This window comes from Homo sapiens, chromosome X (genome assembly GCF_000001405.40).
Source record: "Homo sapiens chromosome X, GRCh38.p14 Primary Assembly".
Taxonomy (NCBI): domain Eukaryota; kingdom Metazoa; phylum Chordata; class Mammalia; order Primates; family Hominidae; genus Homo; species Homo sapiens.
In genome coordinates this window covers 70,383,136-70,404,656 of record NC_000023.11, presented here as the reverse complement: position 1 = coordinate 70,404,656, position 21,521 = coordinate 70,383,136, and the positions used below count along the sequence as shown (strand labels likewise).

General features: G+C 38.6%; 1 protein-coding gene and 1 pseudogene across 1 annotated transcript in view, besides 1 other annotated feature; both read right to left on the bottom strand.

Annotated features, from left to right (window-relative positions):
- KIF4A (kinesin family member 4A) overlaps positions 1 to 21,521 on the bottom strand; it is a 130,783-nt gene that overhangs the window by 16,230 nt on the left and 93,032 nt on the right. The window contains exons 19-24 of the mRNA NM_012310.5: positions 17,956 to 18,039; positions 17,360 to 17,473; positions 8,831 to 8,986; positions 8,608 to 8,708; positions 1,962 to 2,091; positions 623 to 793 (exon numbers count right to left, since the gene is read on the bottom strand). Coding sequence (NP_036442.3) covers positions 623 to 793; positions 1,962 to 2,091; positions 8,608 to 8,708; positions 8,831 to 8,986; positions 17,360 to 17,473; positions 17,956 to 18,039 — 756 coding nt within the window. The remainder of the gene's footprint in view (positions 1 to 622; positions 794 to 1,961; positions 2,092 to 8,607; positions 8,709 to 8,830; positions 8,987 to 17,359; positions 17,474 to 17,955; positions 18,040 to 21,521) is intronic.
- Positions 1,858 to 2,080: a silencer, noted in NCBI's record as "fragment chrX:69622427-69622649 (GRCh37/hg19 assembly coordinates)". NCBI's record gives its function as "represses an EF-1alpha promoter that drives an FKBP-Casp9 reporter gene in an ReSE screen in K562 erythroleukemia cells {active_cell/tissue: K562}" and the evidence as "EXISTENCE:reporter gene assay evidence [ECO:0000049][PMID:32094911]".
- RNY4P23 (RNY4 pseudogene 23) lies at positions 8,282 to 8,375 on the bottom strand (annotated as a pseudogene).

Sequence of the window (21,521 nt, the reverse complement as noted above, 5' to 3'; positions counted from 1 at the left end):
TTGACTTAGTTCAAGCAGTGATCCAGGTGACTGCTCTCTTGTGATTTAGAAGTAAACTGTTCTCATTTGCTGTCATGGCATGAAGTAGTAAGTACAGCATGGATGTTTCTCAGCATAGTTTTTTTTTTTCTTTCTGTTGCCCAGGCTGCAGTGCAATGGCACGATCATGGCTCACAGCAACCTCTGCCTCACGGGTTCAAGCGATTCTCCCACTTCAGCCTTATGAGTGGCTGGGATCACAGGTGCACACCATCACACTCAGCTAATTTCCTGTAATTTTTTGTAGAGATGGGGTTTCACTCTCCTGGACTCAAGCAATCTGCCTGCCTTGGCCTCCCAAAGTGCTGGGATTACAGGCACGAGCCACCACGCTGGGCCTGTTTCTCAGCATGTTAATATTGTTAATATTCATATTTAAGTTGGAAACCCAGAGCCATTGTCACTGGTATGTATAAAGTTAGACAAGTCACGTCTCTGCTTCAGGTTTCTTTTTATTTGCAAAATTTAGAAAAGGCCACGTGGACTTTTGAAAGAAATTTCATATCCCCACTTTTTTTTTAAAACTAACAATACAAGGCAATGATAGTTTCACAGTATAGCTTCTTGACTTGCTAGAGTTTACCTTCTCTTGGTGCTGTTGCTCCATTCTGACCAGCTCAGCTTGTAACTCTGTCTCTATCTCGGCAAAATGATTTCGTTCCTCAAACAGCATCTTCTGCATGTCAGCACAGCTGGTCTTGCTCTGTTTCAGGCTGCTTTCAAGTTTGCTGACCTGTATTTTGGAGGAGACCAGCTGGAAGGAATAAAAGAAGATCAGTTTATTTGAAGAATGACCACCTTTCTTTCCCCCTTTCAACAGGCAGGATAATGTCAGCTTTCTTGAAAGGGTCTGAGAAAAATTCCTCCATGTTCAAGTCTATTCTTATTTTTTCATGTCATATGGATTCCAACATTGAATAGTAAATATACTATTGTTCTATTCCCAGGCCAAGAGTCCACATTTCTGCTGAGACATGTATCTTGGGGCTAGAAGCCACTGCTAAGGCCATTTTATTTCTTGCTCTGCCTCAAGGCAAGAATAAAGCTAACCCGAATAGTATCTGACAATTACAAATTCTGATATTTAAGAAGTTCTTCCTTAATTTTTAAGCAAAATCCACAGGACACACCCTTATGGCCAATTATGTCCCATTTCAGAATGTCTATATTCACATGTTAGAACTTGTAGACTGAGACTGCAGATCTGGCTCTTCAGGCTACATATCCTACACTGGCCTAGTTTTACATTCACTACTAGCCCAGATGGTGAACATCATAAGTACCAGTGTTCACAAGACTGATCAAGATTTCCTTAGTAGAACAAATCTGCTAAGCTAACACAAAAATGTATAAAGGGTAGCATTGTTTAAACTTGTGGGTTTGGAGTTTGTATGCTTATCTTGAGTGAAAATGCTTCAATCACCAGAGGCAATCAATTTTCATTCCTCTTGTGACAACGTAAGGTGACATATCATTTTAAGGTCAGCAAAGATGGCTTTTCCCTAAAATGAATCTTTATATGTCAAAAGATGCTTAGGTTTTCCCTTTTCTAGACTGGATCTTAAATTTTTGAATATACATCTCATAGGGGTTTTAAAAAGTAGTACAGTATAACAGTTGATGTTTAGCCAGTGACCCACTATGGCATTCTGGTCTTTCCTAATAACAACAGCTAACACGCATTCAGCACTTGCTATAGGCCAGTCACAACGGGCATCAATTTGTGAGTCATATTATATTTTTGTAAGTGACTGGCCTGTACTTGCTTACACCAACCTTTATCTACTAAACTCTCTAATGTTAGTGTTATTAGGGTTTCTACCATGAAAAGTGGCAATAACACTTTGACAATATTTCAAGGCTAACATCCCATTTCAACCTACACAGCCAGCCTCCTAACTGCTGGTTAGAGTGATGTTTACCTCTCCAATCAAATATTTCAGGGCACACTTGGCTTCCAGAATGGTGGCAATATTCTCCCAGCGTTGTTTTGGTCTGTCTTCACTTTCTGCATCCAGCAGCTTCTGCTGTAGGTCAGCAATCTGAGCACTCCTTCAGGGAAAGAAACAGTAAGCCTTATTGCAAGTAGCCTGAACATCAAGAAGGGGGAAGAGCTCTGAGGAGAAACTTCAAATAATTTTATGGATGGAGCTATCAGTTAAATATCATTTAAATAATGTTTAAGTCATCTGGTTAGGATTTTACATAGTATCGCAAATCTTGTAACAAAGGGACTCTAAGAGACTATTTAAATGGTTTTATTCCATTAAATACTGGTTGAAATAAATGGGTCATAAAGTGGGACTTGGAAAGACTTATCACAGTAAGGCTTTTGTTGTAGTGGATTAAGTATAATATGTTACTTTGTCTTGAGGCCATATAAGCTCAGACTGTGACATGATGGTCCACCCATGCAAGGATAAGATTCAGGTTGGAGACTTGAAGGAAAAAGCTCAAAAGAACAGGTAGATATGCTCTTTACTACAATCAAGTACCAAAATGATACCCATGGCTGGCATTGTGAGAGGTTATCTTGATGTGCCTGCCACAAGACCGAGAAGTTTCTAAGAAGACTAGATATTCTGACCCTGGTTATAGCTTCTGGGTACTTTCTGATCAAGTATGTCCTAGACCAAAATCTACACAGTATTTCAGTTTAATTAATAGCTTTCTTCTCAAATTTCTTCTGTGTCTAGTGAGAAAGAGTATACCAGCATGTGCTTCATATGCAGTGATAAGTTTGGTACTATAAGGAAGATGGGTATGAAAATAATCTAAGACTGTAGTTCTCAAATTTTGGGGTTTCAGGACCCCTTTACACCCTTAAAAATTATTGAAGACATCTAGGACATTCTGTTCACATGTGTTATACCTATAGAGATTTATAGTATTAGAAAGTACAACTGAAAAAAATTTTAGCTGGGCGCAGTGGCTCACACCTGTAATCCCAGCACTTTGGGAGGCCGAGGTGGGTGGATCACCTGAGGTCAGGAGTTCGAGACCAGCCTGGCCAACCTGGTGAAACCCCGGCTCTACTAAAAATACAAAAATTAGCCAGGCGTGGTGGTGGGTGCCTGTAATCCCAGCTACTTGGGAGGCTGAGGCAGGAAAATCACTTGAACCCGGGAGGTGGGGGTTGCAGTGAGCCGAGATCGTGCCATTGCACTCCAGCCTGGGAGACAGAGCAATACTCCATCTCAAAAAAAAAAAAAATTAATTCACTTAAAAATCATAAACCTAGGCTGGGCGAGGTAGTTCACGCCTGCAATCCCAGCACTTTGGGAGGCCGAGGCAGGCAAATTATGAGGTCAGGAGATCGAGACCATCCTGGCCAACATGGTGAAACCCTGTCTCTACTAAAAATACAAAAATTAGTTAGGGGTGGTGGCGTGTGCCTGTAATTCCAGCTACTTGGGAGGCTGAGACAGGAGAATTGCTTGAACCAGCAAGTCGGAGGTTGCAGCGAGCTGAGATTGTGCCACTGCACTCCAGCCTGGCGACAGAGCAAGACTCCATCTCAAAAAAAAAAAAAAAAAAATCATAAACCTATTGGCGGGGCGCGGTGGCTCACTCCCGTAATCCCAGCACTTTGGGAGGCTGAGGCAGGTGGATCACCTGAGGTCAGGAGCGAGACCAGCCTGGCCAACATGGTGAAACCCCGTATCTACTAAAAATACAAAAAATTAGCTGGGCCTGGTGGCAGGTGCCTGTAATCCCAGCTACTTGGGAGGCTGAGGCAGGAGAATTGCTTGAACCCAAGAGGTGGAGGTTGCAGTGAGCCGAGATCACGTCATTGCACTCCAGCTTGGGTGACAGAGTGAGACTCTGTCAAAAAAACAAAAACAAAAAAAAAACATAAACCTATTATACATTACATATTTTCTGAAAAGTAGCATTTTCTGAGATAATAAATAGTAAGAAAAGGAATTATTTTACACTTTTGCAAATCTCTGTAATGTCTGGCTTAGTTGAAGACAGCTGGATTCTTATGTCTCCCTCTGTATGCAATCTTTTGTGACATGTTGTTCTAGTTGATGTAAATGAAGACAATCTGGCCTCACATGAATATGCAGATGGGAAAAGGAGTATTTTAATAGCCTTTTCAGATAACTGCAAATAGTCTTCTTTGAGACTACACTAAAACTCAACAAGCGGTACCTCCTTAAGAGTTAGTTGCAACCCAAATGTCCAACAATGATAGACTGGATTAAGAAAATGTGGCACATATACACCATGGAATACTATGCAGCCATAAAAAATGATGAGTTCACATCCTTTGTAGGGACATGGATGAAATTGGAAATCATCATTCTCAGTAAACTATCGCAAGAACAAAAAAACCAAACACCGCATATTCTCACTCATAGGTGGGAATTGAACAATGAGATCACATGGACACAGGAAGGGGAATATCACACTCTGGGGACTGTTGTGGGGTGGGGGAAGGGGGGAGGGATAGCATTGGGAGATATACCTAATGCTAGATGATGAGTTAGTGGGTGCAGCGCACCAGCACGGCACATGTATACATATGTAACTAACCTGCACAATGTGCACATGTACCCTAAAACTTAAAGTATAATAAAAAAAAAAAAGAGTTAGTTGCAATGTTGAATCTGAAACTTATTAATAAACTTTGTTGTTGTTGTTGTTGTTTTTATTTTATTATTATTATACTTTAAGTTTTAGGGTACATGTGCACAATGTGCAGGTTACATATGTATACATGTGCCATGCTGGTGTGCTGCACCCAGTAACTCATCATTTAGCATTAGGTATATCTCCTAATGCTATCCCTCCCCCCTCCCCCCACCCCACAACAGTCCCCAGAGTGTGATGTTCCTCTTCCTCTGTCCATGTGTTCTCATTGTTCAGTTCCCACCTATGAGTGAGAACATGCGGTGTTTGGTTTTTTGTCCTTGCGATAGTTTACTGAGAATGATGATTTCCATAAACTTTTTTATATTCTCTCATATTAAAATTCATCAGTCTATCTTGCAATCTGAATGGCTCATTTACGAATACATCATTCTATAAAGTGCCATTTGGACAATATTACTCCAGAGTCATGCAGATCTTCCAAATGTTAACACATTTCATTCTATAAAATATATATTTTTAAAATCACACTTGTTAATATCACTACTGGTCTTATCAGAAAAGTTATGAAAAACTGTCAAGTTCACAGTGGCAGATACAAGTTTTCCAAATCCAAATTTTGCTTGAAAGCTCACATTTTGTCTTAGGTAACAAACACTGTCAGCTGTTTTCCTTAAAGCAACAGGCTCGCTCTATTCTTTTTGAGAAAATGTCTGCCAAGTAACCAAGTCTTAATAACCACAGTTTGTCTGTCAGTTGTTCATTTAAGTAAAAATGATGTCCCATGAAAAAAGAGGCCTATTGAGCTCACACCTCAAACAATCGCAGTGCTTTTCTTGAGACGACCATCATATTCAGCATGCAGTAGAAGTGCTTTCTGTGTTCTTCCTGTTTCGTCACACAGGATGTAACACAGACATGAACTCCAGGGTCCAGATTTAGTAAAATCAACAACTTTTACTGCTTTCGCAACACCATTCTTAATTAAGACTGGCTTGTTTTTTTAAAACCTGAGAGTATATAGTGGTGAAGCATACAATGACTACTAGTTCAGGTTGGTGCCACTGCTTTCATTCAGCCTAGGGTGTCAGCACTTTAGCCCACTATGGCTTTTGCATTTTCAGTGCAAATTCCAATGTAGCAAAAAAGGCAAATAATGCCTTAATATTATTATGAAAATAGTTTTGATCACTGGCTCATGAGCTCCCCAGTAATCTGCGGCCCACACTTTGAAAACCCTGGTCTAATGTAGAGTCCTTTCCTTCAACAAGCTTACAGTCTGTCTTTAGAATGACAAAATTAATAAACATAAAACAATAAACATAAAGATAACATGTCAGCAGTATGTCATAATTGAGTATCATAAGTTCTGAAAGAGTTTAGAGAACAAGGAAGATTAGTGAGGGATTAAAAAGTCAGGGAAGGCTTCTGGAAGAGGTGGGGCACAACACTTCAGAGTTGTCACCTATCATTGGCCCTTTCCTGTCTTCTCTGACAATTCGTGTCCCTTATCTATTCCAAAATGTAGTTTAAGTCTCATCAGTTCTAAAAAAATTCTCCTAACTAAACTCACCTCTAATTCCTTCTACTTGGCACCAGCCCTACATTTACATAATCATTTACTTACGCATATGGTATGTAGGTAAATTTTTAATAACCAGCACTTAAAAAGCCAGCCCTTGGCTGGGCACAATGGCTCACACCTGTAATCCTGGAACTTTGGGAGGCCAAGGCAGGCCGATCGCTTGAGGCCAGGAGTTCGAGACCACCCTGGCCAACATGGTGAAACCCTGTCTCTACTAAAAATACAAAAATTAGCCAGGCATGGTGCCATGTGCCTGTAATTCCAGCTACTTGGGAGGCTGAGACATGAGAATCACTTGAACCCAGGAGGCAGAGGCTGCAGTGAGCCAAGATCGCGCCATTGTACTCCAGCCTGGGCAAGAGTGAGACTTTGTCTCAAAACAAACAAACATAAAACAAAAACAAACAAACAAACAAAAACCCCAGCCCTGATTTGTAACTTTTGTCAGTTTCTGTGGTGTAAAAATTCTCACCATAATCAATTGTAAACTAACAACGGTTTACAACATTCTTGAAATTTTAGCAAATGATTCCAGGACACCAGTGTGAGTAATGATACTATTTCCACCTGAGAGCAAGGGCAATGTCATCTATTTTTTCTGTATATCCCAACTGCATCCAGTGTAGCACAAAGCAGGAACTCAAAGGTTGAGTGATTTATAGATGTATCCCAAGATAAAGTTAGTATGTATTGCTAAAACCAGATTAAATGATCCCAAGGTTCTATTATCCTAAAACACGATAAAATCTCTGTCAAGGTTCTGTTCCTTCTAGATTTCATAAACTGCTTAAAATAATCATGATTAGAAGAGCCTGTGTAGCATAATTTCTGGTCTAGAGCTAGGAGATGAGGGACAGAAGAACATTCATTGACCACTTCTTTTTCTTTTTACTTTTTAGAGCCAATATGAGTGACCACGGCACAGGGAACACAGTCTCAAGAGGTCCTGAGAAAGTGCGGCCTTCACTGAGCACTTCTATTCCTTCTTTTTCTTTTCTTTCTTTTCTCTTTCTTTTTCCTTCCTTTCCTTTCCTTTCCTTTCTTTCTGTCTGTCTGCCTTTCATTTTTGAGACAGAATCTCACTCTGTCGCCCAGGAGTGCAGTGGCACGATCTCGGCTCACTGCAACCTCCGCCTCCTGGGTTCAAGTGATTCTCCTGCCTCAGCCTCCCGAGTAGCTGGGACTACAGGCGCGTGCCACCACGCCTGGCTAATTTTTTGTATTTTTAGTAGAGATGGGGTTTCACTGTGTTAGCCAGGATGGTCTCGATCTCCTGACCTCGTGATCTGCCTGCCTTGGCCTCCCAAAGTGCTGGGATTACAGGCGAGAGCTACCGTGCCTGGCCATTTTTTTACTTTTTTGAGATGGAGTCTTGCTCTATCGCCCAGGCTGGAGTGCAATGGCGCAATCTCGGCTCACTGCAACTTCTGCCTCCCGGGTTGAAGCGATTCTTCTGCCTCAGCCTCCCGAGTAGCTGGGATTACAGGTGCCTGCCACCATGCCCACCTAATTTCTTTTGTATTTTTAGTAGAGAAAGGGTTTCACCATGTTGGCCAGGCTGGTCTTGAACTCCTGGCCTCAGGCGATCCACCCACCTCAGCCTCCCAAAATGCTGGGATTACAGGCATGAGCCACTGCGCCTGGCCCATTGAGCACTTCTAATATGCTAAGTACTGTTATGCACTTTACTAATTTCATTTAATGCTCATGACAACTTTACTTACCATGTTAGAACTATTTTCTTGATGATCTCTAAAGTTCACCTTCTGTGTTGTTGCTCTTCTATTATCATTTCTTTGGTTCCTCTAAAATTCTGTTATTGGTTCTACATCTTAGAGACACTACTGCATCAAAAATTATGGTGCCTGACTCTCTAGTTATCAGTTAAAAAAATAAAGAGAAAAAATTGTGCTGTATTGTAAAAAGCATGGGCTTTGGAATTAGAGTGTGTTTTGAATCCCAGCTCTGTTGTTTGTTAGCCAGTTAATTACCTTTGGCAAATTTCTTAAGATTGCTGAATTTCCTTTTAAAAATTAACCAATTAACCAGTTATTTATTAAAAAGCCAGTCAAATTTAGCAGCGAGGGGGTTGTATACCAACTTCAGTGACACTAATGTTAATAAGTTCTGATAACCCACTTCCATATGACCAAGTTAATTTTAGATCTCTAACATGAGAAGAATGATACTTACCTCATAAGGCATCAAAGGGATTGAATAAGAAAATGTATCTAAGATACCTAGTACAGTGTCTGGTTTAAAAAAAATTGTTATTTTCTCGTGTTTTTCCACCATCACAAGGCTTTTGAATCACTAGATTAATAGGTTCAATTTTTGATTCCAGGCATAAATTTTTATAATGGCTTAGAGATAGTCCCTGTTACCTGAATTCCATTTCAGTCTCTAGGCTTTCAATCTGCTTTGTAATAGAATCTTCTGACTCCGAAACTTGACCACGCACTTCAGTAAGGGAGAATGTACGCCTCTGTAAATAATAGTGAGAACAAGGGTGAAATACTAAAAGGAAAGTAATCCTCCAAAGCTATGAGGATTTCTGGGGAATGTAGAGTCTGATTATTGGCAACATTTTTTCATAAGCGTACTTACCCGGAGTTTAGGAGGTGGATTCTCCCCAGATTCCTTTTTTTCTTTGAGTTGAGCCACATCTTGAGCCAGGATCTTTCTATCTTCAAGGAGGTCATTCAGATGGCGTTTGGCTTCCTCAGTACTGACCATAACCTCAATTTCGTTTCCAAGCCAATTCTGGAAGAGAAATCAGTGATGTCTGTGTTAGGGATGAGGAATCACTAGCTCATGGGCTAGATTCAGCTCCAGACTTAACTTCATTTGGACCAGAGCCCAAGTAACTACAAGTGTGATATCCATTCATACCTACACTTACCAAAAATGTCAGTACCTCTCGAAGAGCCTTTAACAGCAACATGCCAAAAGGTCACAAGAAAGAGGCTTTCTCCAGAAAATCTTTCTCCAGATTCCTAGTATTTCTATGTGCCCTGTTCTTTATTTTCTTCATTTTTTTCCTTTGCCCTTAACATAATAAAAAATTGAATATTTTATGATCTATTCTATTTAATAAATAAATATCCATTTTTAATTTTTAAAGTAGATGAACGGGATTTTTAAAAAAGGAAACAAAATTCAGTAAATTCACTTTTTATTTATTTATTTAGACAGGGTGTCGCTCTGTCGCCCAGGCTGGAGTGCAGTGGCGTGATCTCGGCTCACTGCAACCTCTGCCTCCCAGGTTCAAGCAATTCTTGTGCCTCAGCCACCCAAGTAGCTGGGATTACAAGCACGCGCCACCACGCCTGGCTAATTTTTGTATTTTTAGTACAGATGGGGTTTCACCATGTTGGCCAGGCTGGTCTTGAACTGCTGGCCTCAAGTGATCCACCCACCTTGGCCTCCCAAAGTGCTGGGATTACAGGTGTGAGCCACCATGCCCAGCCAAAATTCACTTTTTGAAACAGTAACTATCCCTGAGAATATTTCTGCTTTTAATGAAGGTATACCATGCTAATAGTAATCAAAAGAAAGCCAGAGTGATTATATTAGAATCAGATGGAGTAGAATTCCTATCAAAAAATAAAACTAGGGATAAAAAGGATTCATGATAAAGGAGCCGATTGTTCAATAGAATATAATCCTTAATGTGTACGTCCCTAATAACAAAGCACCAAAATACATGAAACAAAATCATGTACAAGTAAACAAAGATAATATAAATCATAAAAATGTTCAACTGATCCAAAAAAGGAAAAAGCAGGGAAAAAGAAAATGAAGAACAGATGACACAATAGAAAACAAATAGCAAGATGATAGCTCAAACCTACCTGTATCAATAATCACATTAAATGTAAATGGTCTAAACACCCCAATTAAGTTGTAGAGATTTTCAGATTGGATTAAAAAAGCTAGACATGGCTGGGCACAGTGGCTCACACCTGTAGTCCCAGCACTTTGGGAGGATCACTTCAGGCCCATAGTTCAAGACCAGCCTGAGCAACATAGTGAGACCCTGTCTCTACAAAAAGTAGAAAAATTAGCCAGGTATGGTGGTATATGAATGTAGTCTCAGCTAGTCGGGAGACTGAGATGGGAGAATCACTTGAGTCCAGGTATCCGAGGTTACAGTGAACTATGGTCACGCCACTGCACTCCAGCCTGGGTAACAGAGTGAGATCCTGTCTATGGAAAAAAAAAAAAAGCTAGACCCAAATATATGCTGCCTATAAGAACCACACCTTGGCTGGGTGTGGTAGCTCACACCTGTAATCCCAACACTTTGGGAGGCTGAGGCAGGTGGATCACTTGACCCCAGGAGTTTGAGACCAGCCTGAGCAACATGTTGAAACCCCATCTCTACAAAAAATACAAAAATTAGCCAGGCGTAGTGGCATGTGCCTGTAATCTGAGCTACTTGGGAGGATGAAGTAGTAGAATCATTTGAGCCCAAGAGGTTAAGGCTACAGTGAGCTGTGACTGTGCTACTGCACTTCAGCCTGGGCAACAGAGCAAGATCTTGTCAAAAAAAAAAAAAAAAGAAAGAAAGAAAGAAAGAAAGAAAGAAAGAAAGAAAGAAAGAAAGAAAGAAAGAAAGAAAGAAAGAAAGAGAAAAGAAAAGAAAAGAAACACACCTTAAAAATGAAGGCACAAATACGTTAACATTAAATACACCATGACAAAAAAAAAAACAACATACTAACATTAATAAAAAGAAAGTTGGAGGGGCTACAGTAATATCATACAAAGTAGATATTAGAACAAAGAACAAAGAATATTACCAAGAATAAAGAAGTCCATTTCATAATAATACAGGGATCAATTAATCCTAAATGTAGAACTCTAAGGAAAAAATCCATAATTATAGTTGGTGATTTCAATACCTATTTCTCAATAATTGATAGGACGAGTATGCAGAAAATCAGCAAGGACACAATAGATGTTAACAGCACAATCAATCAAATTGACATGATTGACATTTATAGATACTCCATCCAACAACAGCAGAATACCCATTCTTCTCAAGTACACATAGAACATTTACTAAGATTGATCATACTCTGGGCCATAAAATAAGTCTCAATAAGTTCAAAAGGATTCAAGTCATATGAAGTATGTTCTCTGACCATATTAGAATTAAATTGGAAATCAATAACAAAAAGACATTTGGAAAAATCCCCAAACATTTGGAAACTACATAACACTTCTAAATAACCCATGGGTCAAAGAAAAAAATCAATAAGAAAATTAGAATGTATTTTGAATTGAATGAAAGTGAAAATATAACATTATGAAAATTTGTGGGATGTTGTTAAAGGAATACTTAAGGGGAAACTTATAGCACTGAATGCCTATATTAGAAAAGAAAGAAATCAATGACCTTAGCTTCTTCCTTAAGTAAAAAAAGAAGACCAAAATAAATCCAAAGTATGCAGAAGTAAAAAAAAAAAAGATCCAGGAGGCGGAGCTTGCAGTGAGCCAAGATCACGCCACTGCACTCCAGCCTGGGTGACAGAGCGAGACTCCGTCTCAAAATAATAATAATAATAATTATTATTATTATTATTATTATAAGATCAGAGTGGAAATTAATGAATTGGGAGTTGTTTTGAATTTTTTTATTGTGGTAAAATATATATAACATAAAAATTACCATTTTACCTATTATAAGAATGAGTTGGTTCTTTGATAAACCTCTAGTTGGACTGATTGAGAAAAAGGAGAAAACATACAAACAGGAATGAGATAGATGACATCATTACAGATTTAAAAAAAAAATAGAGATGTGTTCTTGCTATGTTGCCCAGGCTGGTCTCGAATTCCTGGGCTCAAGTGATCCTCCCATCTCAGCTTCTCTAAGTGCCAATATTACAGGCATAAACAATCGCACCTGGCTGAGATTTTACAGATATTAGAACGATAAGGGAATATGATGAACAACTTTATGCCAATACATTTGACAACTTAGATGAAACAGACAAGTTCTCTGAAACACACAAACTACCAAAGCTTACTCAAGGAGAAACATATAACTTTGAACAATCCTATATCTATTTTTAAAACTTTATTTAACATCCCTCTCCCCAAAAAGCAAAACTAAGCAAGAAACATAAATCTCTCCAGCCACAGATGGCTTTCCTGATGAATTCTATCAAATTTTTAAGAAAGAAACAATATTAATTCTGCACAAAATCTTCCAGACATTTGAAGAGAAACGACTACACTTCCCAGCTCTTTCTGAGGCCAGTATTACCTTGATATCAAAACCAGACCAAGGTATTACAAAAAACTACACACCAATATCCCTCATGAACACAGATACAAAAATTTAAACAAGTTTTTTTATGTATTACTGAATTTAATAATACATAAAAAGGATGATATATCACAATTAAATGGAGTTTATCCAAGAAATGCAAGGTTGGAATGGAATATTACACAGCCATAAAAAAAAGAACAAAATCACATCCTTTGTAGTAACATGAATGCAACTGGAGGCTATTATCCTAAGAGAATTAATGCAGGAACAGAAAATCAAATACCACACGTTCTCACTTCTAAGTGGGAGCTAAACATTGAGTACACATGGACAGAAAGAAGGGAACAATAGGCACCAGGGCCTACTTGAGGGTGGAGGGTGGGAGGAGGGTGAGGACTGAGAAACTACCTATTGGGTATCATGCTGATTATCTGTGTGACAAAATTATCTGTATACGAAACCCCTGAAACATGCCATTTACCCATGTAAAAACAAACCTGCACATGTAATCCTTGAACCTAGTAAAAGTCGGAAAGAAAAAAAAAAGAAATGCAAGGTTGGTTCCATATTTGAACATCAATCAAAATAATTCACCAAATCAACTAACTAGAGACAAAAAGTATTTCAAAAAAATTAACTACAGTTAATATACTTAATGGTGAAAGACTGAATGCTTTCCCCCTAAGATCAGGAAGAACAGAAGGATGTCTATTCTCACCACTCCTATTCATCATCATCCTGAAGGTTCTCACCAATGCAATAGGGCAAGTAGGAGAAATGATAGACATACAGATTAGAAAGGAAGAAATAAAATTGTATTTACAGACAGCATGATAGTCTACATAGAAAATCCTAAAAACCTATAAAAGAGCTAGTAGAATAATAAAGGCATGAGATAAAAGTTAATATACAAAAATAAATTGTATTTCTATATATCAGCAATAAACAACTAACTGGATAAACAATTTGGCAGTTTCTTACAAATTAAGCATATACTTATCATATGACCCAGTAGTCCCACTCTTAGGTATTTACCCAAGTGAAATAATTAGTTTACATAGAAACGTGTATGTGTTTTTAACAGCAGCTTTATTCGTAATTGCCAAAACCTAAGGAAAAGAAAAACCTAAGATATCCTTCAACAGGTGAATGGATAAACAAACTGTGGTATATCCATACAATGAAATACTACTCAACAACAACAACAAAAACACGCAAACTACAGATACACAAACAACACAAATTAATCTCGAATTATGCTAAGTGAAGGAAGTCATACTGTATGTTTCTATTTCTATGACACTGATGGAAAGGGAAAACAATAATGACAGAGTACAGATCAGTGTTTGTCAAGGGCCAGGGTTGTGGGAGGAATTGGCTGTAAGAGATATAGGGGAGTTTCTGGGGATAAGAGAACTATTCTGTATCTTGATTGTTGTAGTGGTCACACAACTGTACATGTTGTCAAAACACATAGAACTATACAACAAAAGGGTTTATTTTATTGTATGTCAGCTATGCCTTGACAGAATAAATTAGGGAAAAATCAGTGCCATTTGCCATATAACAGAATAAAAACTGACCAATCAACCAACAGTCAGATCATCTCAACAGAAACAGAAAAAAAAGCTCCTGAAAAAACCCAACATCAATTTGTAATAAAAACTTCGCAAGCTAAAAAAAGGAACTTCTTCAACCTGATAAAAGACATATACCAAAAAATCTATAGCTATTATCATACTTTACGGTGAAAAACTGAATGCTTTCTGCCCAAGACTGGGAACAAAGCAAGGTTGTAGCCTCTCACCTAGTCTATTCAATATTGTACTGGAGGTTCTAGCAAGTGCAATAAGGCAAGACAAAGGTTAAAAAAATAAAAAAGCACAGAACAGAAAAGAAGAAATAAAATTGTCCATATTTGCAGATGACATGATTTTCTAGGTAGAAAATCTTAAGAACTCTACAAAAAAGCTTTGAGAACCAACAAGAATATCTAAACAATTGGAAATGGAAATAAAAATGCCATTTTCAATATCATAAAAATATGAAATACTCAGGGATATGTTTGACAAAAGATGTACAACGCTTGTACACTAAAAACTAAAATGTTGCTGAGAGAAATTAAAAACCTAAATAAAGAGATATACTGCATTCGTGTATCTAAATATTCTTAACATGTTGATTCTCCTTGAATTGATTTGTAAATTCTATGCAATCTTAATCCAACTCCCAGCAAGCTGTTTTGTAGAAATTAACAAGATAATTCTAAAATGTATATGGAAATGCAAAGGACCCAGTTTTCCCAAAACAATTTTGACAAAGAACAACAACTTTGGACTTACACTGATTTCAGGATTTCTTAAAAAGCAACTGCATTCAAGACTTTTTGGTATTGGCATAAAAATAGACATATAGATCAATGAAACAATCTGAAATAGATGTATGGATATTTAATTTTGACAAAGGTGTCCAGTCAAAATGAATCAAAGACGTAAATGTAAAGCTTAAAAATATGTAACTTCTAGAAGAAAACTTAGGGGGAAATCTTAGCGACCATGGGTTTGACAAATATATATATTTTTTTGAGACGAAGCCTCGCTCTATCACCCAGGTGGAGTGCAGTGGAACGATCTCGGCTCACTGCAACCTCTGCCTCCCCGGTTCAAGCGATTCTTCCACTTCAGCCTCCCGAGTAGCTGGGACTACAGGCGCACACCACCGTGCACAACTAATTTTTTGTATTTTTAGTAGAGACGGGGTTTTGCCATGTTGGCCAGGATGGTCTTGAACTCCTGACCTCAGGTAATCCACCCGCCTTGGCCTCCCAAAGTGCTGGGATTACAGGCATGAGCCACTGAGCCTGGCCAGACAAATATTTCTGTTTTAAATTTTTTTGAGACAGGATCTTGCTGTGTCACCCAGGCTGGAGTGCAGTGGTGCGATCATGGCTTGCTGTAGCCTTGACCTCCCAGTCTCAAGCGATCTTCCCACCTCAGTCTCCCCGGTAGTTGGGACTACAGGCATGCACCACCATGTCTGGTTAATTTTTTTAAAATTTTGTTTTGTAGAGACAGGATCTTACTTTGCTCCCCAGGCTGGTCTTGAACTCCTGGCCTCAAGCAATCCTCCTGCCTCAGCCTCCCAAAGTGCTGGGATTATAGGCATGAGCCACTACACCCAGCCAAGATTTCTTAAGCAAGATATGAAAACTGTTTAAGTATAAAGAAAAAAATATCAATAAATTGGATGGCATTAACATAATAAATGTTTGCTCTTCAAAAGACACTGTTACAAATTGAAAAGGGCAAGCCACAGCCAGGGAGAAAATATTTGTAAAACACAGAAGTCCTCTGTTAAATATATCTAGAATATATAAAGAATTTTAATTCAATAATAAGAAAAAGATAAACAACCCAATTTAAAAATGGGGACAGATTTGAACACATATTTCACAAAAGAAAACATACATATGGCAAATAAGCACATGAAAGGATGTCCAACATCATTAGTCATTACAGAAAAGAAAATTAGAACCACAATGAGGTTCCACTACCCACCCACACAGAATAGCTAAAATTCAAAAGACTGACCATACTAATTATTGGCAAGAATGTGTAGCAACTAGAACCCTTATACATTGCTAGTAGGAATGTAAAATGGTACAACTGCTTTGGAAAACAGTTTGGCAGCCACTTAGCAGTTAAAACATACACCAACCATACAAGAAAGCCATTTTACTCCTAGCTATCTACTCAAAAGAAATTAAAAAAAATCCACACAGGCTTGTGCACAAATGTTCAGTGCAATATTTGTAAGAGCCAAAAACTGGAAACCACTCAAGTATCCATCAACAGATGGATATAAAAACAAATTATGGTATAGCCATACAATGAATGGGATGCCACTCAGCAATAAAAAGGAAAGAAGTTGTATATGACATATGCAACCACATGGATGAATCTCAAAATAATTGTGAATAAAAGCCAGAAAAAAAATACATAATGTATGATTCCAGATGAAAACAAATCCATAGTGACAGAAAGCAGATTAATGGTTGCCTGGAACCACTGTGGGGATATAAAGAAATATATATGAAATGGGGAGTAGACGGGTAGACCAGGGAGGAGAAGAAGGGATTACAGAGGGATAAGAAGAAGGGATTACAGAGGGATACAAAGAAAGTTTAGGCAATGAAGCACACTGTCATTATCTTGATTATGGTGATGATTTCATGGGTGTATACACGTGTCCAAACTCATCAAATTGTATACTTTTTTTTCTTTTTGAGACAGAGTTTCACTGTCACCCAGTTTGGAGTGCAATGGTGCGATCTTGGCTTACTGCAACGTCCACCTCCCAGGTTCAAACGATTCTCCTCCCTCAGCCTCCCAAGTAGCTGGGATTACAGGCACCTGTCACCACAACCAGCTAATTTTTGTATTTTTAGTAGAGATGAGGTTTCACCATGTTGGTCAGGCTGGTCTCAAACTCCTGACCGCAGGTGATCTGCCCACCTCGGCCTCCCAATGTGCTGGGATTATAGGTGTGAGCCACCATGCCCGGCCAAATTGTGAACTTTAAATATGTACAATTTATAATATGTCAATTCTACTTCAATGAAGCTGTTTAAAAAAGTAACTGAACCTCAATAGGGGCAAAGATAGAAAGAGTTCTATACTCCTGGTCTTTAACAACAGTTCAAAGACATTGCTATCTTTAGGAAATAAGGCTTTCAAGTAGAACTTTAGATTTTGCAGTGTTTACTTCTAAAAAAAGGAAAAAAAAAAAGCTATTTCTCCTTTTTTCCTGTTCCCAGTGTCCACAAGAGAAATGGCAGTTCAAGTTGTTCATACCTTCACTCGAGCTGCAGTGCCTTCCATTCCACGGCTCTGAGTCTCTTTCCGCTTATCTGCAACCTCCCGTTGTTTCTGGAGAGCATCCTTGAGACGCTTGTTGGCAGCTGCTGCCTAAATAAAATTGGCACATAGTAATGTTGAATGAATGGTAAAAAAAAAAAATCCAATTTCTAGCACATTAGTAAAGATAAAAATTCTATGGGTTTGAGTTCCTATAGGAACCAGGTTTATAAACTTCCATGGACATAACACTGGTGAACAGCTACTGCTTTGGTGCCTAGGGGAGGAACACACTTCAAGGAAGTTCTGCAGACTAAAAGTGTCTAGAAATGTCACATATCAATATCACTTTGTTTTTTCAGGAAAGGCTCACGTCCAGTTAGGAAAAAATCCTTATTTGAACAGTACCATTTTTCATCAAGTTTTTATCTGCTCACAGTGGCATATAAACAGTGATCAAGATTTAGGAATTGCTTGTGAAGATTGGCATCCCTGGTTTCTCAGGACGCTTGCTAGTTTAAAGGATATTACTTTGCAAGCATTTAAACCTGAAGATGACAATACACTTGACCTAGCAGATTGAATTTTCTTACCTCCTCCGTTTTACGTCTGAGCACATTGGATTGTTTCTGGAAGTTTCTTTCAAGTTTCAGCAGCTCATATTGCCTCTTACGGTCCTGACAAGAAAAAAGTCAGATATTAATTGCTGTTCAGCTAGCTAAAATAAAACCTTATACTATAAGGTGTCTCTCAAGACATCCTTGATTTGTAAGGTTAACTACAATACAGTGAGCTGCCTTCATCTTCTCATATGAGTCAAAAACTCGTAGTTCTAGAAACCATGTTTGTGTGTAGAGGGGAAGTGGTTTTTCCCTTTGGCTTATTGCTCTGTGGCCAAATTCTTGAGTCTCAGTCATAAATCAACTACTAGAAATAATATCCTAGAATGTGAGGCCTGGAAGGAAGCTTAAAGATCATCTAATGAACAGTCCTTTCCACATAGGTAGTTATTGACAGAGGTGGGATTCAGGTCTCCTGAAAAATAGACCAGTATTCTTTTCCCATCAACCCTACCTGTCCATCCATTACAAAACCCAGGTGGCTGGCAAAAAAGAGAAAGTCTATCACATAGCCAACCACCTATAAAATTAAAGTAACCTGCAGCTAAAAAAAAAAGAGGTTTCTCATTTTTGAAAAAAACAAGGTTAACCTGGGTACACACGGACATAAAGATGGAAACAATAGACATTGGGGGCTCTAAAAGGAGGGAGGGATGGAGAAAGGGGGGCAAGAGCTGAAAAACTTCCTATTGGGTACTATGTTCACTATCTGGGTGATGGGATCAGTAGAAGCCCAAAGCTCAGCATCATACAATATACCCTTGTAACAAACCTGCTCCTGCACCCACTGAATCTAAAATAAAAATAAAAACAGGTTATTACTGAATGTGCTCTTTCTTCCCAGAGATTAAAGATAAAGAATACCAAGAAATACTATGGGGTATCACCTGCTTCAGCTGAGCACACAATATTTAACTGCTTTGATTTCTTGGCCATTTCCCTCTTCTAATAATCCATTAAGCTCCTTCTGGCTTCACTTGTTCCAATCCAATCTGGATAGAATGGTCAGCCATTTTTGTCATGTCTTTGCCAGCATACTAGAACAATTCATTTCATTCAACAATATAATATTTACTGTGCCATCAACTAAACACTAGGCACTGGGCTAGGTGTCTAGGATACAGAGATAAACATGACATGGTTACTACTCCTACAGAGATTACCAGAGAATACAAACAACATGCAATACAATTATAATAAAATATGATGTGTGTTGAAATGAAAAGTCAAGATAATTAAAGAAACACAGTCAGAGGACTAAGCTAGTCCAGTGGAAAGAGAAAAGTCAACAGTCTTCTTAGTACCAGACTTTTTGAAAGAGAGGTCTATGTTTAGTGCTTCCAATTGTCATTACTGGTCACTCCATAATCCCCTTGTAAGTAGTTCCTACCAGTTGTCCTGGAATTTCCTACTTCTTAAATTCAGTGGTGTTTTTACAGTCACTATCTTCTTTGGCTTCTCTCCCAGCATCGTTAGCACTACCAATAACTTCCCCATACCATCCTAATTATTTTTCTACCTTACAAATTTCATTGTCTTCTTTTCATTTTCTTATACATGAAATAGATTCTCAGTTGGGCATGGTAGCTCATGCCTGTAATCCCAGCATTTTGAGAGGCTGGGGTGGGTGGATCATCTGAGGTCAGGAGTTCAAGACCAGCCTGGCCAACATGGCGAAACTCTGTCTCTACTAAAAATACAAAAAAAAATTGCCAGGCATGGTGGCATGCGCCTGTAGTCCCAGCTACTCAGGAGGCTTGAACCCAGGAGGCAGATGTTGCAGTGAGCCAAGATGGTGCCATTGTACTCCAGCCTGGATGACAGGGTGAGACCAAAAAAAAAAAAAAAGAGATTCTCTTCTTAGCCTTCTTTTTCTATATATTCTCTGTCTCCATTATCTCATTACTCCCAAAGTTTCATTTTTCACCTCTATGCAGACAAATCTTTTTTTGAGACGGAGTCTCCCTCTGTCGCCCAGGCTGTAGTGCAGTGGCTCGATCTCTGCTCACTGCAACCTCCACCTCCCGGGTTCAAGCGATTCTCCTGCCTCAGCCTCCTGAGTAGCTGGGATTACAGGCATGTGCCACCGTGCCTGGCTAATTTTTTTTGTATTTTTAGTAGAGATGGGGTTTCAGCATGTTGGTCAGGCTGGTCTCGAACTCCTGACCTCGTGATCCACCCACCTTGGCCTCACAAAGACAACTCTTAATTGCAAAGTCCAGCCCAACTTCTCCCTTGAACTCTAGGCCAACATTATCCAATATTTTCTAGGTCTCTCCATCCCAAAGATTATTCTCCTAAAACCAACTTTGTCTCTTCAAACTAGCTGTTTCCTCTGACTTTACAGTCACTGAAAAGCCCGCGGTACTTTTTGTTGCCCTACTTCCTTCATTTTTTGAAAGGTATATTTTGCATTAATTATGATTAAAATCATTCACTAAACATTATTGAGTGCCCACTACTTGCCAGCCACTGTTCTAGCCATTGGAAATGCAGAAGTGAGCAAAACAAAGATCCTTGTCAATGTGGAATATATATTCCTGTAGAATGTAAAGTTGTCATCACTTTATAGAGATGTCTCCTTTCTTCTTTTGTTTTTCTTAACAGTTTTATTGAGATATAATTCACATACCATACAATTCACTCATTTAAAGTACATGATTCAATGGCTTTTGGCACATTCACACAGTTGATGTAAACATCACCACACTTAATTTTAGAACATTTTCATTACCACAAAAAGAAATATACTGTTTAGTGATCACCCTACAACCCCATCACCCCACCCCAAAGCCCTAGAGAACCACTAATCTACTTTTTGTCTCTACAGATTTTAATGTCCTACTCTGGATATTTCATATAAATGGAATCCTATCATACATGGTCTTTTGTGATTGGCTTCTTTCACTAAGCAAAATGCTTTCAAGCCTCATCCATGTTGTAGCATGTATCAGTACTTCATTCCTTTGTATGGCTGAATAATACTCCACTGTATGGATAGACCACATTTTATTTACCCATTCATCAGTTGATGGACATGTTGGGTTTTTCCACTTTTTGGCTATTATGACTACTGCTGCATGAACATCTGGGTACAAGGTTTTGCATATATGACATGTTTTCGTATCTCCTGGGTAGACAAAACTAAGAGTGGAATTGCTGGATCATATGGTACCTCTACGTTTTTATTTAGCCTTTTGATAAACTGCTAAACTGTTTGCCAAAGCAGCTATACCATTTTCCCATCCTACTGAAAATGTATGAGGCTTTCAGTGTCTCCACATTCTTGCTAAGACTTATTATTATCTGTCTTTTTGTTTATAGCCATCCTAGTAGATGTGAAATTGCATCTCATTGTGGTTTTGATTTGTATTTCTCTGATGGCAAATGACATTGAGCACCTTTTCATGTACTTATTGCTTTGCCCATTTTAAAACTGGGTTATATTTTTATTGTTGATTGGTAAGAGTTCTTTTTTTTTTTTTTTTGAGATGGAGTCTCACTCTATTGCCCAGGCTGGAGTGCAATGGCACGATCTC